This window comes from Homo sapiens, chromosome 16, assembly GCF_000001405.40.
Source record: "Homo sapiens chromosome 16, GRCh38.p14 Primary Assembly".
In the NCBI taxonomy this organism is placed as follows: Eukaryota; Metazoa; Chordata; class Mammalia; order Primates; family Hominidae; genus Homo; species Homo sapiens.
The window spans coordinates 65,351,133-65,373,876 of NC_000016.10; the positions used below are offsets into that span (position 1 = coordinate 65,351,133).

The 22,744-nt window shown below is 39.7% G+C and overlaps 2 long non-coding RNA genes across 3 annotated transcripts in view; one reads left to right on the forward strand and one right to left on the reverse strand.

The window, feature by feature from the left end:
- LOC124903780 (uncharacterized) overlaps positions 1–22,744 on the forward strand; it is a 161,687-nt gene that overhangs the window by 119,089 nt on the left and 19,854 nt on the right. The window contains exon 3 of the long non-coding RNA XR_007065224.1: positions 19,965–20,053. This is a non-coding gene — a long non-coding RNA (uncharacterized LOC124903780). The remainder of the gene's footprint in view (positions 1–19,964; positions 20,054–22,744) is intronic.
- The window catches only part of LINC00922 (long intergenic non-protein coding RNA 922), a 291,796-nt gene that overhangs the window by 66,631 nt on the left and 202,421 nt on the right, over positions 1–22,744 (reverse strand). Inside the window, exons 3-7 of one of the 2 annotated variants that reach the window (NR_027755.2) lie at positions 12,531–12,676; positions 12,249–12,371; positions 12,079–12,159; positions 5,299–5,357; positions 3,111–3,169 (exon numbers count right to left, since the gene is read on the reverse strand). This is a non-coding gene — a long non-coding RNA (long intergenic non-protein coding RNA 922). Of the gene's footprint in view, positions 1–3,110; positions 3,170–5,298; positions 5,358–12,078; positions 12,160–12,248; positions 12,372–12,530; positions 12,677–19,903; positions 20,073–21,100; positions 21,138–22,744 lie in introns of both variants that reach the window. The other variant, NR_174971.1, reaches the window with a different exon arrangement.

Here is a 22,744-nt window from a genome sequence, read left to right on the forward strand (position 1 = left end):
GTCAGGGAGGCTTGAGACTTGCCCCTTCCTTCCAGGTACCTGATTTCCTCTTTCTTCCCTAGTGAGAACCCAGGCTCTTTTTATGGATGTGGGAAATAAAATGAGATGAATGAGCCTGAGATTTAAATTGTTATAAAACTATTAAAGAGAAATCTGTCTTAAGTTATCACCTAAGGGGCCAGTAAAAATTGGTCGTCATAGAGGTGGATTTTTAAATAAAGGTTGAACAAAATTACACTCAGATCCTTAGGGATGCTTCTAAATAATATTTTAAAACAGGGGGTTACACAGTGAGGTGACCTTCCTGTCATACTGCCTGTATTATACCAAGATATCCTATGCCCAGCAAGGCTCAAAGAATGCACATTCTCTCTTAGGAAACTTCAGTGTCCCCTGGATCTTTTATTATCTTGCCCAGAGCAACACTCTGATCTTGGGGAGAGCGAGAGTCAAGACTTCCTTCAAAACTGGGGACTCACCTGAAATTTCCACCCTTGAAAATCCCTTTGAAGAATATTTTATTTCTGCAAATGCATCTCCATTCCTAACCCTCCCACCTCCACTATATCACTGCTTTGCTTGAAAACCAATGATGCTTACCCTGCTTTCATGGTGCATTATCAAATCTACCAACATCATTTCTCCACTTTCCTGGTATGTTCTATTGGCCCCTGTGTACAACCATGAGTGCACACCTAAAGAGCACTGCAACAATCACCTCGTATGTTGAGATTTTCTAAACCCAGTGCAACAGAGATATGTTTTTGCTCTTTTATGCCCTGAGCTCACCTTACCATCAACTCAACTTGCAGATTTGTGTTTGGGTGTGGCTGAGTCTACGTGTTTGGGAGAATTTTAAGGGCAAAATTTAAGCCAGTCTTTACTGGCTGGAGCATCACTTCCCCCAAGCTTAGAAGAGTATTTGACCTGCTGGATGGAGACAGTGAATGTTTATTGAATTAAGGAATGCAAAGTGAATGAATGCGTGAGTGGAAGGCTTGTTCTAGAAAGACAGATGGAAGCTTCTCTATTCCCAACGTACAGCTGGTCATTGTCATGTCTTCTTCCTCTCTCTTACACTTCTCTGACTGTTCAAATCTCCCCTGCCCATCAAGACCAAATCTACAGTGTGTTTCCTTTCTGAACACATTCCCTTATAGCTCATTAACCTTATAGGTGTTTAGTCAATGAGTCAACATTTGTGGATTGTTCAGTGGGTGTTGAAATTGATGGGAAAGAGAATGAGCTTCAGGGAGGTTTGCATCTGAGTGACTACATTTAAGTGGAAAGACCTTTTCTTTCTTGACTTCATTTTCAGCCATCCTGAGCAAAGTGAAAAGTGGTAGACAATGAGAATTTAATGATTTTAATAAGGAGGTGCAGGTTGGTGAAAATCACCTCCCAGGTATTAGAATTGGGCCACAATAGGTGGGTTCTAGGGAACTCAATGACAGATGTTTTTGCCTCCTGAAGGGGATGGGGAAATAAGCCCATCTGCCCATTTCAGAGGGTGCCTGTACTTAGGTATGCATGAGATTTACCTGAAAGGTGAAATTTAGACCCTCAGAGAGAAAAGGCAGCCACGGAGATGAGCCTATAATCTGCCATTATTCTCCTGGAGGTAGATACTTCACGTATCCGAGAGCTCAGGTCTGCTGAAAACCACTTTGAAAAGGATTCAGTCTAGATATGCAAAGATGAATAAGACTCACTGCATCATTCTGTCCACACCTGCCTAAGAAGGACATTGCTTCTAGGTTTCAGGCAGGATAATTGATCTTAGTCCTGAAACCACATTATATCAGGATAGGGCTTTTGTCAGAAGTTCTTTAAGACCATGATTTCATTAAGCTTTCTTATACCTTGTAATAGAGAAACATCTTGCTTCCTTTACAGATGGGCAAAATGAGGCTTAGAAAAACGTGATGCTTCTGCAGAGGAAGTAGGGGGTGGGAGTTTATAGTGCATCCTCATTCCTAGCTTACCTGGCAACACAAGCTCAGCTTCTCTCCCTGAATCGTTTAAAAATCTCCACAATCAGCCAAAAGATTTATATTTTCTTATTACCTTAGCAGCTTCTTCCGAATAAATCTTTTTTTCCCAGCACAAGGAATGAATTTAAAGGAATATACTAAATTTCTAAAAAATGGGCTTGCAAAGCAAGATTCTGCTTTGACCCTAATATCTCCCTTAGATTCCCTTCTGCACACATACACCCTTATCAAACATGATTCACCTTCTCTGGGAACAGGCTGAGATTGGAGTCATGGCCAAAGGCAGGAATGGAGGTGTGGGCATTTTCATAGTATATAATGAGCAAATGAATGATGACTATGAGGAATTTTGGGTGTCAGACCACCAGTTACCAATAGTTTTCAAAGAGTAGAAGAATTTGAGGAGAAGGTGATTTTTAATATAATTACATGCAGAAATATGTTTTGAGGAATGAATTTTTAAAATTGCGGTCATTGATGTTTTTGCATTTCTCTTCCATTAGAGAGAATAAAAACAATCTAATTAAAATTATAGCCTCATGCTAGATCATCTTATTAGCTCCATGAGATTTCATACATAGGCTCACTGAACATCTGGAATTCCAGAACATCATCCATTGCCAACTTTAAAATAGATACCTAAATACATATAGATACATGCATATGATGGGCACACACTGCTTTTTTTAAAAGTTGGAATACATTTTTTACATGAACTTGATCTCAAAGGAATGACATAGAAAAGCTAAAATGGTAAGCTTCTTGATTCAAAATCACATCCAATTCACATGAAAAATAACTTATTTGAAAAAATGCACGGTTTTTTTTCTCCTGATGAGAGTGCACAATCACTTTGAGAAATTTGGGAATAGCGGCAAAAAGTAAAGAAAACATAAAGCACACATAATCTCACCCCTCAGAAGTAGCTGTTCATAGTTTCATAAACTCTGTCTTTCTTTCTTGAATTTATCATATTTTTTCACCTATAAGGTATCATACTACCCATGGCACTTACATTGTCCTGTTCTTGTTCATATTCACTGATACCCATCTTCCACATTGATAAAAATATTAATAAACATTTTAAATGGCAAGTCAATTTTATTATATAGTTACCTTTATTTCTTTATGTTGTGAATGTAGGTTCTTTGAATGCATTTCTTTCTGAAGGAAAGCTGTAAGAAAATTGAGTTGGAATTTAATTTGGAAGAAGAGTATATGACATTATAGAATGTTAAAACTAAAAGTAATTTAGAAGCTCATGTTCAGCCACCTCGTCTTATTTAGAGATATGTAAATACTCTCTGAGAGAAGAAAGATTTTTTTCTAGGGTTACAGTGTCAATGAACAATGAAGGGAGGACTGGAACTGAGACCCCAGTGATCTTCCCAGCTCCTTATCCTTCCTCTGGAAAGCATTTTCCTTCCAGAAGGATGATGTTCTGGTCCACCCTTTGAGAGGGATTGCTTATGAAATCAGCACCTGTGCCCCCACAGGAAATAAAGATAGGACTAGATGGTGAGCCAATATAGGAAAGAACACCTGTTGTTATTTCAGGTTTAAACAAGGTCTTCTGCCAAACCAAATCAGGGTAATGTGCTGAGAACACCTGGAAGAATGGTCTTCAAAAATTTCAGATGCCAACATAAGAAAGACTGCCAATGATATCATGTTCTGGGACACTCCCTCCCCACAATTCTCACATGCTCCATACCAAAGTGCCCTTATTATAATGTTCAAGAAAGGAACATACTTAGCAATCTTATAACCTTTGCCATATGTGTGTGTGTGTGTTTGTGTGTGTGTGTTTCCACTGCATCCTTAAAATTAGGTAAGCAGTTGAAGGGAAAGCATTCTATCCTATTGGTGCTATGGAACCAGGGAAGATATAGCAGAGGGTCGAACTTGGGCAGGGGTGGGGAGAACTCATTTCACCCAGATGTTTGGGACAGGCGAAGACTAAGATTTTTTATTCCTAGATGGTACAAGTAGAAGGAACATCAGAGCAATAATTTTGCTTTTTTATTAAAATTAATTTCTGAGCAACCAAGAAAGAGACAGAATGGGGCAAAGTTAGAGAAAGAGAGAAGGATAGTTTAGAAAAAGCAAATAACAAAAGAGAAATGAATGGGGGAAATAAGTGAAAAAGAATACATACTTAAATGCTGATAATGCTAATAAATATGTCAATTATATGTGCAGAAGAATGCTAGTTCTTGTGGTCATTTTTCTGCAGGGCTTACTGAAAGGAAGCAATTTGGGGAGCTTACCCTAATACCAACCCTGTCCTCCTTGATTAAACAAGAAGATAGAATTCAGGTTTGGGGGAAGTTCAGTGTTCTCAGAAAGATGTTATTCTATCCCTTTTTGTGGAGGAAGGGAGAGGGTCTTCTCCTTGGGCCACAGAAAAGAAGATGGGGTGGGGCCAAGAAAATAGTCCATAAATACTGGGCAGACCACCAAAAATGTCTCCATATTGAAGCCTTAGGTGACCTGTTTACCTGCCCTTTAATTACCAGGGCAGGAAGCTAGACACAGGGTAGACGGTATGCTGATACTTTCAAGTAGATGAGTGCAGCTAAAGCATACTCTTTATCTTTCCACCTCAAACCTTGCTTTCTGTTCCCTGTGACCTTATGCTCTACTGGCCTAAAGGTCTTAGTTCCAAAGGGAGGAGTGCTTCCACCAGGACCCAACAATGATTCCATTAAACAGGAAGTTAAGGCAGCCACCAGGTCACTTTGGGCTCCCCTGTGCTGTGCTGACTGGGGTGACTGCTTATGACCACCAAGGAGAAATGGAAGCACTTCTGCCCAATGGAGGTAGGAAGAATATGTCTGGAATACAAGAAATCCTTTAGGGTGATTAAGGTCATGCCCTGTGATTAAGGTCAATGAAAAACTACAACAATTCAATCCTACTAATGACTCAGACTCATCAGGAATGAAGGTTTGGATCACCCCACCAGGCAAAGAACCACAATCAACTAAGGTACTTGCTGAAGGCAAAGGAAATACAGAACGGGTAGTGAAAGAAGGTAGCTATAAATCTCATTATATCATACCAGTATACTATTAAGTACTATAAATAGTAGTAGTCAGGATTCACCAAAGAGACAAAATCACTGGAATGTATACATATATAAAAATAGATTAATTATAAGGAATCAGCTGCTCTCTTCAGGCCTCAAATAGATTGGATGAAGTCCACTCACATTAGGGAGGGCAATATGCTTTACTCAGTCGACCAATTTAAATGTTAATCTCACCCAGAGACATCCTCAGAGAAATGTTTCACCAAGTACCTGGGCATCCCATGGTCCAGTCAAATTGACACATAAAATTCACCATCACAGTAGAGAACCTGACACATAAATAGAATGGTAAAATGGCAGATATTATTTATTCTTATTACTTTTAATATTTTAGATCACCTTATTTTGCCTCATAGTTTCATTCATGAAAATGCAAGCATTAATAAATACATTCTAAAGGATAATGAAGGATAGAGATAGTTTTAATAATACCTGAACTGCAACCTAGAGTTGGGCTAGATTGAGTTTTGCAGGTTGCAACCTTGAATGCTTAAGCTTTGTGTTTATTAAAATATAATACACAAAGATGGCCAAATAGGAAGAGCTCCGGTCTACAGCTCCCAGAGTGAGCAACTCAGAAGACGGGCGATTTCTGCATTTCCATCTGAGGTACCGGGTTCATCTCACTAGGGAGTGCCAGACAGTGGGCGCAGGTCAGTGGGTGCGCACGCCGAAGCAGGGCGAGGCATTGCCTCACTCGGGAAGCACAAGGGGTCAGGAAGTTCCCTTTCCTAGTCAAAGATAGGGGTGACAGACAGCACCTGGAAAATCGGGTCACTCCCACCCCAATACTGTGCTTTTCCAACGGGCTTAAAAATGGCGCACCAGGAGATTATATCCCGCACCTGGCTTGGAGGGTCCTATGCCCACAGAGTCTTGCTGATTGCTAGCACAGCAATCTGAGATCAAACTGCAAGGGGGCAGTGAGGCTGGGGGAGGGGCGCCCACCATTGCCCAGGCTTGCTTAGGTAAACAAAGCAGCCAGGAAGCTCGAACTGGGTGGAGCCCACCACAGCTCAAGGAGGCCTGCCTGCCTCTGTAGGCTCCACCTCTGGGGGCAGGGCACAGACAAACAAAAAGACAGCAGTAACCTCTGCAGACTTAAATGTCCCTGTCTGACAGCTTTGAAGAGAGCAGTGGTTCTCCCAGCACACAGCTGGAGATCTGAGAACAGGCAGACTGCCTCTTCAAGTGGGTCCCTGACCCCTGACCCCTGAGCAGCCTAACTGGGAGGCACCCCCCAGCAGGGGCACACTGACACCTCACACGGCCGGGTACTCCAACAGACCTGCAGCTGAGGGTCCTGTCTGTTAGAAGGAAAACTAACAAACAGCAAGGACATCCACACCTAAAACCCATCTGTACATCACCATCATCAAAGACCAAAAGTAGATAAAACCACAAAGATGGGGAAAAAACAGAACAGAAAAACTGGAAACTCTAAAATGCAGAGTGCCTCTCCTCCTCCAAAGGAACTCAGTTCCTCACTAGCAATGGAACAAAGCTGGACGGAGAATGACTTTGATGAGCTGAGAGAAGAAGTCTTCAGACGATCAAATTACTCCGAGCTACGGGAGGAAATTCAAACCAAAGGCAAAGAAGTTGAAAACTTTGAAAAAAGTTTAGAAGAATATATAACTAGAATAACCAATACAGAGAAGTGCTTAAAGGAGCTGATGGAGCTGAAAACCAAGGCTCGAGAACTACGTGAAGAATGCAGAAGCCTCAGGAGCAGATGCGATCAACTGGAAGAAAGGGTATCAGTGATGGAAGATGAAGTGAATGAAATGAAGCGAGAAGGGAAGTTTAGAGAAAAAAGAAGCAAGCAAAGCCTCCAAGAAATATGGGACTATGTGAAAAGACCAAATCTACATCTCATTGGTGTACCTGAAAGTGATGGGGAGAATGGAACCAAGTTGGAAAACACTCTGCAGGATATTATCCAGGAGAACTTCCCCAATCTAGCAAGGCAGGCCAACGTTCAGATTCAGGAAATACAGAGAACGCCACAAAGATACTCCTCGAGAAGAGCAAATCCAAGACACATAATTGTCAGATTCACCAAAGTGGAAATGAAGGAAAAAATGTTAAGGGCAGCCAGAGAGAAAGGTCGGGTTACCCACAAAGGGAAGCCCATCAGACTAACAGCGGATCTCTCGGCAGAAACTCTACAAGCCAGAAGACAGTGGGGACCAATATTCAACATTCTTAAAGAAAAGAATTTTCAACCCAGAATTTCATATCCAGCCAAACTAAGCTTCATAAGTGAAGGAGAAATAAAATACTTTACAGACAAGCAAATGCTGAGAGATTTTGTCACCACAAGGCCTGCCCTAAAAGAGCTCCTGAAGGAAGCGCTAAACATGGAAAGGAGCAACCAATACCAGCTGCTGCAAAATCATGCCAAAATATAAAGACCATCGAGACTAGGAAGAAACCACATGAACTAACGAGCAAAATAACCAGCTAACATCACAATGACAGGATCAAATTCACACATAACAATATTAACTTTAAATGTAAATGGACTAAATGCTCCAATTAAAAGACACAGACTGGCAAATTGGATAAAGAGTCAAGACCCATCAGTGTGCTATATTCAGGAAACCTATCTCAAGTGCAGAGACACACATAGGCTCAAAATAAAAGGATGGAGGAAGATCTACCAAGCAAATGGAAAACAAAAAAAGACAGGGGTTGCAATCCTAGTCTCTGATAAAACAGACTTGAAACCAACAAAGATCAAAAGAGACAAAGAAGGCCATTACATAATGGTAAAGGGATCAATTCAACAAGAAGAGCTAACTATCCTAAATATATATGCACCCAATACAGGAGCACCCAGATTCATAAAGCAAGTCCTGAGTGACCTACAAAGAGACTTAGACTCCCACACATTAATAATGGGAGACTTTAACACCCTACTATCAACATTAGACAGATCAACAAGACAGAAAGTCAACAAGGATACCCAGGAATTGAACTCAGCTCTGCACCAAGCGGACCTAATAGACATCTACAGAACTCTCCACCCCAAATAAACAGAGTATACATTTTTTTCAGCACTACACCACACCTATTCCAAAATTGACCACATACTTGGAAGTAAAGCTCTCCTCAGCAAATGTAAAAGCACAGAAATTATAACAAACTATCTCTCAGACCACAGTGCAATCAAACTAGAACTCAGGATTAAGAATCTCACTCAAAGCTGCTCAACTACATGGAAACTGAACAACCTGCTCCTGAATGACTACTGGGTACATAACGAAATGAAGGCAGAAATAAAGATGTTCTTTGAAACCAACGAGAACAAACACACAACATACCAGAATCTCTGGGATGCATTCAAAGCAGTGTGTAGAGGGAAATTTATAGCACTAAATGCCCACAAGAGAAAGCAGGAAAGATCCAAAATTGACACCCTAACATCACAATTAAAAGAACTAGAAAAGCAAGAGCAAACACATTCAAAAGCTAGCAGAAGGCAAGAAATAACTAAAATCAGAGCAGAACTGAAGGAAATAGAGACACAAAAAACTCTTCAAAAAATTAATGAATCCAGGAGCTGGTTTTTTAAAAGGATCAACAAAATTGATAGACCGCTAGCAAGACTAATAAAGAAGAAAAAAGAATCAAATAGACGCAATAAAAAATGATAAAGGGGATATCACCACCGATCCCACAGAAATACAAACTACCATCAGAGAATACTACAAACACCTCTACGCAAATAAACTAGAAAATCTAGCAGAAATGGATAAATTCCTCGACACATACACTCTCTCAAGACTAAACCAGGAAGAAGTTGAATCTCTGAATAGACCAATAACAAGAGCTGAAATTGTGGCAATAATCAATAGCTTACCAACCAAAAAGAGTCCAGGACCAGATAGATTCACAGCCGAATTCTACCAGAGGTACAAGGAGGAACTGGTACCATTCCTCCTGAAACTATTCCAATCAATAGAAAAAGAGGGAATCCTCCCTAACTCATTTTATGGGGCCAGCATCATCCTGATACCAAAGCCGGGCAGAGACACAACCAAAAAAGAGAATTTTAGACCAATATCCTTCCTTGATGAACATTGATGCAAAAATCCTCAATAAAATACTAGCAAACCGAATCCAGCAGCACATCAAAAAGCTTATCCACCATGATCAAGTGGGCTTCATCCCTGGGATGCAAGGCTGGTTCAATATATGCAAATCAATAAATGTAATCCAGCATATAAACAGAACCAAAGACAAAAACCACATGATTATCTCAATAGATGCAGAAAAGGCCTTTGACAAAATTCAACAACCCTTCCTGCTAAAAACTCTCAATAAATTAGGTATTGATGGGACGTATCTCAAAATAATAAGAGCTATCTATGACAAACCCACAGCCAATATCATACTGAATGGGCAAAAACTGGAAGCATTCCCTTTGAAAACTGGCACAAGACAGGGATGCCCTCTCTCACCACTCCTATTCAACACAGTGTTGGAAGTTCTGGCCAGGGCACTTAGGCAGGAGAAGAAAATAAAGGGTATTCAATTAGGAAAAGAGGAAGTCAAATTGTCCCTGTTTGCAGATGACATGATTGTATATCTAGAAAACCCCATTGTCTCAGCCCAAAATCTCCTTAAGCTGATAAGCAACTTCAGCAAAGTCTCAGGATACAAAATCAATGTACAAAAATCACAAGCATTCTTATACACCAACAACAGACAAACAGAGAGCCAAATCATGAGTGAACTCCCATTCGCAATTGCTTCAAAGAGAATAAAATACCTAGGAATCCAACTTACAAGGGATGTGAAGGACCTCTTCAAGGAGAACTACAAACCACTGCTCAAGGAAATAAAAGAGGATACAAACAAATGGAAGAACACTCCATGCTCATGGGTAGGAAGAATCAATATCTTGAAAATGGCCATACTGCCCAAGGTAATGTACAGATTCAATGCCATCCCCATCAAGCTACCAATGCCTTTCTTCACAGAATTGGAAAAAACTACTTTAAAGTTCATATGGAACAAAAAAAGAGCCCGCATCACCAAGTCAATCCTAAGCCAAAAGAACAAAGCTGGAGGCATCACACTACCTGACTTCAAACTATACTAAAAGGCTACAGTAACCAAAACAGCATGGTAGTGGTACCAAAACAGAGATATAGATCAATGGAACAGAACAGAGCCCTCAGAAATAACACCACATATCTACAACTATCTGATCTTTGACAAACCTGAGAAAAACAAGCAATGGGGAAAGGATTCCCTATTTAATAAATGGTGCTGGGAAAACTGGCTAGCCATATGTAGAAAGCTGAAACTGGATCCCTTCCTTACACCTTATACAAAAATCAATTCAAGATGGATTAAAGACTTAAATATTAGACCTAAAACCATAAAAACCCTAGAAGAAAACCTAGTCATTACCATTCAGGACATAGGCATGGGCAAGGACTTCATGTCTAAAACACCAAAAGCAATGGCAACAAAAGCCAAAATTGACAAATGGAATCTAATTAAACTCAAGAGCTTCTGCACAGCAAAAGAAACTACCATCAGAGTGAACAGGCAACCTACAAAATGGGAGAAAATTTTCACAACCTACTCATCTGACAAAGGGCTAATATCCAGAATCTACAATGAACTCAAACAAATTTACAAGAAAAAAACAAACAACCCCATCAAAAAGTGGGCAAAGGACATGAACAGACACTTCTCAAAAGAAGACATTTATGCAGCCAAAAAACACATGAAAAAATGCTCACCATCACTGGCCATCAGAGAAATGCAAATCAAAACCACAATGAGATACCATCTCACACCAGTTAGAATGGCAATCATTAAAAAGTCAGGAAACAACAGGTGCTGGAGAGGATGTGGAGAAATAGGAACACTTTTACACTGTTGGTGGGACTGTAAACTAGTTCAACCATTGTGGAAATCAGTGTGGCGATTCCTCAGGGATCTAGAACTAGAAATACCATTTGACCCAGCCATCCCATTACTGGGTATATACCCAAAGGATTATAAATCATGCTGCTATAAATACACATGCACACGTATGTTTATTGAGGCATTATTCACAATAGCAAAGACTTGGAACCAACCCAAATGTCCAACAATGATAGGCTGGATTAAGAAAATGTGGCACATACACACCATGGAATACTATGCAGCCATAAAAAATGATGAGTTCATGTCCTTTGTAGGGACATGGATGAAATTGGAAATCATCATTCTCAGTAAACTATTGCAAGAACAAAAAACCAAACACTGCATATTCTCACTCACAGGTGGGAACTGAACAATGAGAACACATGGACACAGGAAGGGGAACATCACACTCTGGGGACTGTTGTGGGGTGGGGGGAGGGGGGAGGGATAGCATTGGGAGATATACCTAATGCTAGATGACGAGTTAGTGGGTGCAGCGCACCAGCATGGCACATGTATACATATATAACTAACCTGCACATTGTGCACATGTACCCTAAAACTTAAAGTATAATAATAATAAATTTTTAAAAAAGACTTTAAAAAAAATTTAAAAAATATAATACACGAAACGTCTTGTAGAAGTTTTAAAGTAAGATTCATCTGTGAGTCACCTGTAGAACACACTTTAAAGGTGTTGGTTAACAACCTCTGTGTATTGCTATTCATAGACATGTAACTATACATCTGAGTCTGCACAGATACTCATATATGTGTAATCCTAAAGGTTTTTGATAAATGTGGAATAACTTAACCAACTTTATGAATTTAATTAAGCTTTTCCCCACATGGTGTGTTGGAAAAGACAGCAGTTCATAGAAAGACCATAATCTAAAAAAAATATATATATTTTTCAAAATGGGAACCAGGTCTACAGGGCAAATGGGACATTTTGCTTGTCAGCAAAATAAATTTATTCTGAATTTATGAATGGATAATAAGCCACCTTTTCACAATGATTAATGGTAATTAACCTTTTAAAGCTCCATCACTTACCTGGCCATCTTTGGCTGACAGTCATTGAACACAGTAGAGAATGCTGATGGTAAAAAGACCTTCCTCTGGACTCCCAAGGTCCTATAAGGTAGACACCATTAGTTTTGTGCGAAGAGGTGGCAAATCTGATGCAGCCCTAGATAACTTCAGACAAAAAAATATACACATACTCTGTAATGGAGAGAAGCTTTTATCCTGTAGGGACAACTGGACTAGAGGACAGTCAGCTCTACTGCTTGAAGCCACGTGACTTCAGCAACATCTTTTCACTTGTGTGCACCCACCTCCTTTACCTATAAAATGGATGAGTAGCGATTTTATTAACAATTATCATTTTAAGTGAAGGGTCCTGTTGGCTGGCATAGGAAAAATGCAAGCCCCTTTTAAAACAACATCATATTAAAGCTGTCTCTCAGCAAGCTGGCACTTGTCACACATCCTAAGACACTAACCTGGACCCAAGATATGCTCCATGTCTTTGCCTGTTTCAGCGGCCACCACCTCTGACAATATGAACATCAAAGATAGCTGGGAAGTAAATTCTGGAATGGGCTTTAGCACGAAAGATGTTTATTGGGGGTATCCTTAGAATCAACACCTGTGGAAGTAAGAGAAAGTAAGTAAGATTTCAAAAAATTCAAGATGTGATGCAGGCAAGACAGACTTGGCTGACCCCAAAGAGAATCATGGAGTTAGAATGGTACATCAGAGTTGTTCTGAACCAGAGTCAATGGCCAAAACCTTATACCCCTACAGTGATCAATTCTTGACTGTGGGTTGCCCCAGTAAGGATCACGATCTTGAGACCCACAACATGAGAGAATCCCTGCAGGGGCGAGAGTTGAAAGTCATTTGCAGATGGCACTCCTAGTTGCTGAGACCACCTCAACTTCACAAAAGGGTGGCCCATTACAGTATCTTCCACATTGATTGATAGATTAACTGATTGCACACTTATTGAGCATTTACTATGTCCCAAACAGGCTATGCTGGGGCTGCTACCTGCTTTATCACTTCTAAGTCTCATCACAACCCTATCAGATAGGTATTCAAACACACTTTTTCACATGAAATGAAGGCTCAGTTAGTTGTGCAATTAGAATTCAAAACAAGACAATGTTAACTTGCATGAGTCCAAGAGTTTGCCATATGCTGAGAGACAACTTGCACTTTTATTGTGTAAATTATCAATTGTTTTCAGTACTTATCTGATTTTTCCTTGGAGATTGTTTCTACTTTCCCCTGTTTCAAATTTTATTCCTCTGTAGGATTTATTCCAGACCATAACTCACACTTCCCCAGCCAGGTGGAAGTAATTGTTTCCTCATTTTGTTTTCAGAGACTATGGCTAGCTCTAGGAACTCACAGAAGTTACTCATCTTCCCTATGTCTCTGTTTCCATTATCTGTAATATGGGAATGATAGTAACACCTATCACATCAAACTTCTAAGAAGATTTTAAAAACGAATGCATAGGTATCACACAAGCAAATGCCAAGTGTTTGTTCTTCTTCTTATTTGCATATTTCATGAATAAAAATAAATCAGTGGATAACTGTTTTTGTTCATGTATCATATTTACATATAGGTAGACACATGTATAATAAAATTCACATGTTCATTGATCTTCTTGTTAATTAGAATCATAAGATAGAGATTGTGTGATAATTACCCGGATATACTTAGAGCTTAGCATAATATCTCATACCAGTAGGTTTACCCAATAAAAAGCTATTAAATTGAATTACATTTCAACAATAAGTAGCCAAGTTTTATCAATCATAAATCACAGACATCTTTCAAAATTGTTCATTTCTGTCAGTGTATTACCCTAGCCCAAGCCACCATCATTTCTTCCTTCTGATTTAAAGTCATACAGATTTGGAATCAAAGTAGGCTGACATTCGTATTTAACTAGTTTAAGCCTCTATTTCTACATCTGTGAAATAGGAACAGATAGAGAACCTACTTCATGGGGCTGAAAACAGAATTAAATGAGATATGTAAATTAACTAATTAGTTCAAGGCATGGCATATAGCAAGACCTCAGCAATTGCTGGTTTTAATCATAACAATGACAATCACAACCACCAACCCAAGCATTTTTCCTGTTGTTGAGTTTATTCTCTGCTGCTTAGCCTACTGTAGGGATAAAACACCAGATTAGAAGTATAATGATATTGTACAAAGAGCAAACACACTGAGTATGGTTTTATCAAATAAACTTGTTCTTAACTTTGAGCAAGTAACATAATCTGTTTTAGTCTTGCTTTTTTCATTTGTAATATGGGAATAGTAATAATGCATATATCATAGAATTTTTAGGGTAAATGATATAATCTACCTATATAAGCATTTATAGAACAATGAGACCCAGTCAACAAGTACGAATGTTAGCTTTGACTCATACTATTAGCATGTGTGCAAAATAACAATTCATGGTGGCTTTAGTGGCAATATTGAGAGAGCTGGGTAATTCTGGCACACAGTAGGTCCTCAGCGCTCATTGAAGTCTTTCTATTGCCTACATTGTTGTGTCCTGAGAAGAGACAGCTGGCTCCTCACACTACAACCTGCACAATGCACAGGAGAATGTTAAACGGTGGGGAAAACACTCTGACGAAAGCTGTTTTAATGAGACATCCCATTAGCTCTGCTGCTCCCAGGTCATGCTGCCTGTGTCAGAGCAAGAACACTAATGGACTAGGTGGTCATGTCTTTCCGTCTGACTAGACTCTGGGTTTTTAATAAAGCAAGCAACCCACACACTCAGGCAGCTTGGGTGTGTGTATGTGTGCCTGTGTCTCCAATGATAAACAGTTTTCATCCTAAAAAAAGACTCGAGAAAAAAAACAACAGGACAGGAAGGCTCAAAATGTCCTCTCATTTGCACCAATCAGAGAGAAGCTGACCAAGACCTTCCTACACATGCGGATAACCCTCACACAGGGCAGAGAGGAGTAAAAAAACACGCTGCTTTTCCAGGGGGGCCATAATACACTCAATAGCGTTAATAAAGAGTAGTGTCAGCTGCCTGGCTTCTTAATGATGAATAATTCATACACATCAAAGCAGCCCTCACAAAGTATTTTTTCCCGTGGCCTCAAAGACAATGAAATCACAGCAAAGATGTCAAAAGGGGAAAGTTTTTTCAAATCACATCATCCCCCTATCTCTCCTCCCTACTCTGTAATATCCATTCTCTGGACTTGATTAAAATCAATTGTGATATTAGTTTATAAACACATTATTAAATCTTTTTATTTGCTTCTTATTCTGTGTAATGGCAAACTCCTATTCAGCCCTCAAAGCCCAGCTCAAAAGCCATCACTTTTTGAAGTCAACTCTGCCATCCACTTTCCCAACAGTCAGTCTAATCGTTCCCTTAGGTTAAACATATTTGCTTTAATACAACTGTTACTAAGACCTTATTCCTTTAAATCTTTGGCTCAGACTTGGAACCTCTTAAGCTTAGACACACTGTCTTATGTATTACAGAATAACCAGCACTCAATTTAAAGCCTGGGGTACAGTAGGCACTCAAAAAATGTTCATAGGAAATTGGAATGACTTGAATTCTTGAAATAAATAAAGATCATACTTAAAGAGAAGCACTGGAATGCTAATATAGATTAAGCCTATGAAAAGGAAAATTAGATGAAAAGAGTATTTCCAAAAACTCACAAACATCATTGAGGATTATTCTTATCATTTAGCATTTACTAAGAACCTAAATCAAAGGCTTAGAAATGCAAGGAGTGGGGGGGATCTGTTTGGAGGGCTTATCAGCACTCTTTAGGAGGGCAAGCATGTTAAGGAGAAATATTTATCAGAACTGAGATAAAATTAAAATGGCAGAATCACAATCTAGGTTATTTTTGTAGTCTGTCTTAAAATATCCTTATCCTCCCTTTCTTTTTGATCATCATAAATGACAATTTACTACAGACATACACACATCAAAATGAAGATGTTACCCACTTTTTGTATTTCTCAACTGGCTGCTGCTTCAACAAAACACCATTTCAATGTCAGGAGGGAACACATTTCTTTTTTGGAGTAAATGCTTGTTATCAAAGGAAAAAAGATATATTTTTAAGCTAAACTCTTTATTCTCTGAAAATATTATAATGCTTATAATGTGCCAGGTGTTGTACTAATCACAAAGGGAACATTTGGACTGTAAGTCATAGGTCTCACACTCACAAACCTCCTAGTTCATTAAGATAGAAAGATGCCATGAGATAATTATGAGGGGACCTCAAAAATTTCATAGAAAATGCATATTACAAAAAAACTATGCATTGATTTAAAAGATGTTTGCACCAAAAAAAACTCATACTAACTTGTTATAACATGTCTGAAGGGCATCTAGTTTGAGGCACTAAGAAGGGCAAGACATCAGTTTGAAAGGAGCACCTCTCTCAGTAACATGAATTCTGCTAAAATTGAAGCAAGAATGAACATCAAATTTATGGTAATGTTTGAGTGGAACAATGGTCAAATCATTGATGTTTAAAAAAAGTTTATGGAGGCCGCATGCGGTGGCTCATGCCTGTAATCCTAGCACTTTGGGAGGACGAGGTGGGTGGATCACGAGGTTAGGAGGTCAAGACTGTCTTGGCTACCACGGTGAAACCCTGTCTCTACGAAAAATACAAAAAATTAGCCAGGCCTGGTGGCAGGCGCCTGTGGTCCCAGCTACTCGGGAGCCTGAGGCAGGAGAATGGCATGAACCCAGGAGGCAGAGCTTGCAGTAAGCGGAGATCACACCACTGCACTACAGCCTGGTTGACAGAGTAAGACTCCGTCTCAAAAAAAAAAAAAAAAAAATTATGGGAGACAGTGCCCCAAAGAAATAAGCAGTTTGCAAATGGGTACAAGAGGAAAAGATGATGTTGAAGATGAAGCCCACAGTGGCAGACCAGCCACATCAATTTTGGAGGAAAAACTTCATCTTGTTTGTGCTCTAATTGAAGAGGACTGGCAATTACAGTATAAACAATAGCCAATACCTAGACATCTCAATTAGTTCAGCTTACACAATTCTGAATGAAAAATCAAAGTTAAACAAACTTTTCGCTCTATCAATAGGTGGCAAAAGTGTTATACCCAGATCAGCTACAGAAAAGAGCTCAGCTTTCGGTGGAAATTTTTAACAAGTGGGATTAAGAGCCTGAAGCATTTCTTCAAATAAATGTAATAGAAAATGAAGCATGGCTTTACCAGTACAATACTGAAGACAAGGCACGATTAAAGCAAAGGCTACTGATATGGTTTGCCTGTGTCCCCACTCAAATCTCACCTTGAATTGTAGCTCCCATAATTCACATGTGTCATGGGGGGAGACCCAGTGGGAGGTAACTGAATCATAGGGGTGGGTTTTTCCTGTCTTGTTCTCGTAATCGTGAATAAGTCTCATGAGATCTGATGGTTTTAGAAAGTGCAGTTCCCCTGCACACGTTCTCTTGCCTGCAACCATGTAAGACATGCCTTTGCTCCTCCTTCACCTTCCACCATGATTATGTGGCCTCCCCAGCCATGTGGAACTGTGAGTCCATTAAACCTCTTTTTCTATTTCTCAGTATTTCTTCATAGCAGTATGAAAATGGAATAATACAGCTACCAAGAGGTGGAAGTTGTCCAGTCAAAGCAAAAATGGACCAGCCAAGAACAAAGATTGTGTCAACAGTTTTGGGGATGCTCAAGACATTTTGCTTGGTGACTTTCCAGAGGGCCAAAGGGTTTCTTATGAGTGTGTTTTGAGAAAATTAGCCAAAGCTTTAGCAGAAAAATGCCCAGGAAATCTTCACCAAAGCATCCTTCACAACCATGGCAATGCTCTTGCTCATTCTCTCAACAAACCAGGGAAATTTATCAATAGTTTCTGTAGAAAATCATTGGGCATCCACTTTACAGTCCTGATCTGACTCTTTCTGACTTCGTTTTTTTTTTTTTTGTTTCCTAATTCTAAGAAAATCTGTAAAGGGTGTCAATTTTTCTTCAGTTAATAATATAAAAAAGATTGCATTGAGGTGGTTAAATTCCCAGGGCTCTCAATTTTTTTAGGGATGCTCCGAATGGCTATTATTGTGGCTTATAAAAGTGTCTTACACCTAGTGGAGCTTATGTTGAGAAATAAAGTTTATGTCTTTATTTTGTAACTTTTAATTCCATTTTTCCATGAACTTTTTGAAATCCCATTGTGTTTTAAAGTATTTATTTCTGCTTTACGTACAGAGTTATGGTTTTGCAGAAGGTGTGATAACTGATTCTTTCTGGAAAGTTAAAAATGGCTTCAGAGAAAATATGATTTTTTAAATCTTATTATTATTATTTTTAGACAGGGTCTCACTCCAGTCACCCAGGCTGGAGTGCAGTGGCATAATCATGGCTCACTGCAGCCTCAACTTTTTAGGCTCAGGTGACTCTCCCATCTTAGCCCCCTGAGGAGCCGGAACTATAGGCATGTGCCATCACTCATGGCTAATTTTTAGTATTTTTAGTAGAGATGAGGTTTTGCCATGTCGCCTAGGCTTGTCTTGAACTCCTGGGCTCAAGCGATCCATCCGCCTCAGCCTCCCAAGTGCTGGGATTACAAGCGTGAGCCGCTGCATTTGGCCAATCTGATTCTTAAAGGGCAGGTAAAAGGATATTTTCCACTAGACCAAAGGCCGCTGGATCTCATCAGGAGTTAGCAGTACTTTCAAAGGTCTGGAGTTGTAGAAGGTATTGGTGGAAAGTTTTATGTAGGTGGGGTACCTAATTCAGGGCACGGGATGAGGCAGGTGAAGAGAGAGAAATTGGAAGATGCCCATTGCTTGAAATTACAATTTAATAAGTATAGTCTTTGTTTTGTTCTGTTTTAAGATGACACTGTCAGCCTCTTGGGTGGTAGAATGGGAAAAAATGCCTACTAATTAACTATTTTTTTGCAGCGAATAAAATGATGACAGTTTGAACCAAGACTGTGGAATGGAATGAAGAAAAATAGATCAGGTCATTGAAGGTATCAAAAGCTTTCTAGGGATAAATAAAATGCATATAAATTGAACATGAAAGTAAGAGTGTGGAAGAATCAGGAATGGCTGAGTAGGGATGGAAGGAATTTTTTTTATGAAATGAGTTAAAAGTTACATAGTTTCAAAAAAGCTAAGAACATAGACCAGTTCATTTAAAATGGGTATGTTGAAACCAAAGATAAAAAGACTATTGCAAATTGAGACACTGTACGCTGTGAGTGAGGGGATGTAGGAAGATGACCTGGGCTGCAAGTCTAGACTGTTTTGGCTGCTAGATAACAAAATACTATAAACTGAGTAGCTTGTAAACAACAGAGATTTATTTCTTACAGTTGTGGAGACTGGGGAGTTCAAGATTAAGGCACTGGCAGATTTAGTATCTGGTGAGGGCCCACTGCCTGGTGCATAGACAGAGACTCCCAGCTGCATTCTCACATGGTAGAAGGGGAAATGAGGACTCTCTTCGGCCTCTTTTATAAAGACAGTAATCAAGTCATTCAGGCACCACCCTCATCATATAATCACCATCCAAATGTCCCACCTCCTAATATCATCACCTAAGGGGTTAGGCTTTCAATGTATGACTTTTGAGGGGACACCAATATTCAGATCATCCAATGAATCACAGCAGGACTCATACCTGTAATTAGCTTCCAGATCATATACCTGAGCTTAGAAGAGTGATCTTTAAGGATTATTGGTGTAGGTGTCTTTCAACCACATCAGGTAAACTGGTGAAGAAGGCATGAGAGCACATCTTGCTTCTCCTCTCCCACCATCACCTGAAACCTTGAGTTCCTTACCCAGTCAGCAATTAAGATGTTGCTATTCATGATTCTATCCTCCGTCCTTCATCTGTTGCAGAATCAGCTGGGAACAATGACTGCCAAAAGTGTCCAGAGGAAGTCTGCAGGACCTGGGTCTCTCCTAGGTGGAATATTCTTTGAAATCAGGTAACAGATACAGTTTGGGCTAAAGAGTGGAGTGGGTATGGGAGGGAAAACAACAGAATCGTCTGTGGAGGAATCATGGCTATGACCAGAAAGACACAAATGGAGTTAAACTGATACCCCAGACATGTCAGGGGAGCCCACAAAAAAGTGGTCAAAAGCTTTTAAAAAATGATAAAGTCAGCATAGGGCCATGTGGGCAGCTTAAGAACCAGTCCTCCATTAGCCTATACTTCTCACCTAGGGGAGTTTAATCCATCTTTGATCATTGTCAGTTTATGTCTCACCCAGTATTGGCAGGAATGGTGCAATACAGCTTCTTAAATAAGCCTGGCATGGTGAGGCAGGTGAAGCCCTGTCTCTTGGTAAACATGTAGAAAGCCTGCCATTGGTTAGACTAACTGAATAAAAAATTTGAATGCCTTGTCAAGCAACTAAAATTGTTTCATATCCATTTCTGAAATACAAGATGCTGGCTCTTCATTCATTAATTTTTAACAAATATTTACTGAGTGCATACTACGTGTTAGGCATTATTCATAACCCTGAGGATGTGAAACAGCAAAAAACAGACATAATTCCTGCTTCCATGGAATTTTCAATCTCTTGAGGAATGATAGACATTAATAAAATAATCACAAAACTAAATAATTAATTAAAACTGAAATTAGAGCTCAAATAGGAAGAAACATATTTCTATGAGAGCATGTAGCAAGCAGACATGACTTAGACTGAGGGGTGAGATAAGGCTCTCCAAGGAAGCAAGACTTGAGCTGTGAACTGAAAGGTAAGTGTGGTAGACCCAAACAGCAGGAGCAGCACTTGCAAAGATCCTGTGGCCAGGGGTCCTGAAAAATTTCTGTTGTGGCTGGGAATACAGAGAGTAGACATGTTCTAAGAAGAGGCTGAAAGTCAAGGGAGGAGCTATACAGATTCCTTGCTAAGGTTTTGGATTTTTCTCTTTATTATTCTTAGAGCAGCAGGTTTCCATAGACAAGTAATTTCCATGATTGTGTTGCTTCAAAATGCATACTGCTTTTATATACTTACCTCTTCAAAACCACACTTCTTGGCCAGAGCTATGTATCTGTGTGAGAAGGAAGCCAGAGATGGAGAAATGAATCAGACAGGTTTACAAACCTGGAGAAACCCAGTGTTTAGAAAAGAGGGAAGTAGCTAGATAATGATGCAACAGTGAAAATAATGGTAGGAGAAAGAAAAGCCTAGAGAGGGTAATAGGGTAAGCCTCCTTACCAGCCCTCAGGAAGCAAGGACAGATTCCCAGACTAGTAACATCTGAACCCAAAGGGCAGAGAATAATAGCTCATATCTGGTAAGTGCTTACTGTGTGCCAGGCACTAGGAAGTGCTTTTCATCTATATTTAAGGTAACAAAAGCCATATGAAGTGTATTCTATTATTATCCTTCTTTAAAAAGATGCAGAAACTGAGGATTGAAAACTTGAAGCAATTTGTTCAAGATCACACAGTTGGGACAGAGGAGGGCCAAGATTTGAACAAGGATGCTGTCTGCTAAATGTAAAGGCTGGAGGGCAGGGAGATTGAATTGTATATTTCAGATGAAAATATTAAAACATGAGATGTGTTGATTTAGAATAATTATAGCCTCTTCGAGAAATGTTTGAGGGCTTGTAAGTGCAGCTATCTTTGCCCAAATTTGGGGATAAGAGCTTGAGCCAAAATAACACGAACCTCCACTCTTAACAGAGTGGAACCTTTTGTGCGGTGAGTGCTTCAGAAATGAGAAATGCATATGCATCAGAGAGCGCATTAGTACTTAGACAATCCAAAAAGACCTGTTTTTATATCATTTGACTTTTCTTCTTTCCTCCTGTAATTACTTCATTTCAGTGAAATCACGCTGTATTATGATTTAACAACTGGAACAGTCACTTAAGCATTGATATTTTGCAAGCTCCTTTCTAATGTTCCCACCCACAATCTGGCCTAAAAAGGGAGAACAATGAGCGATCACTTAGGGGCCCAGATAAACCACACAGGAGTGCTCACTGGTCACTTTTGCTGTTTGAATCCTGCCCTGGTTATCAGCTGCCAGTATTCTGCCAGGAAACTCTAAGGTAGAATAATCATGGGACTAAGCAGGAAAGAGATTGCAATTTTTAAAGCATAGAGAAATTGGCATGGGGTGAAGATGTTGTAACTACAGGTTGCAACCATACTTCCTCTTTTAAAATTGACTGTTTCCTTCCACAATGTTGTAAGTACGTTTCTTTCCCCAGCCACCTCCAGATAAAAAGACAAAATGCCTCCCAAAGCTACGAGATGAACTACAGAATTCTAATTGTTCCCATGCTTCCTGAAGATTTGAAATTCCAGCCTGTGCTTCATTCCCATGCAGTTCTTGTTAACTCCACACATGGGTAAATAATCAAAGGTATCTAGTGGTCAATGAGTGTTTTCTTTGTAAAATGTATATCTACTAGGAATAGGTAGAGCTCTGAGCACAGTGACTTTTCTGAAGTACAGACTTTTAGCCCCAGGGGAAAAAAAAAAAATCTTAAAGACTGCTTTCTCGGCCCTGTAGTTGGACAAATAAGGGGGCTTTGGTCCTGATACGGATGTGAGCTGCCCAAGCTTGCAGGGTGAACTATGGGCTTCCTGATCCTAGCTGCTGTTATTTCAACTATGCTGCCCTGACCTAAATAGCTTTGCA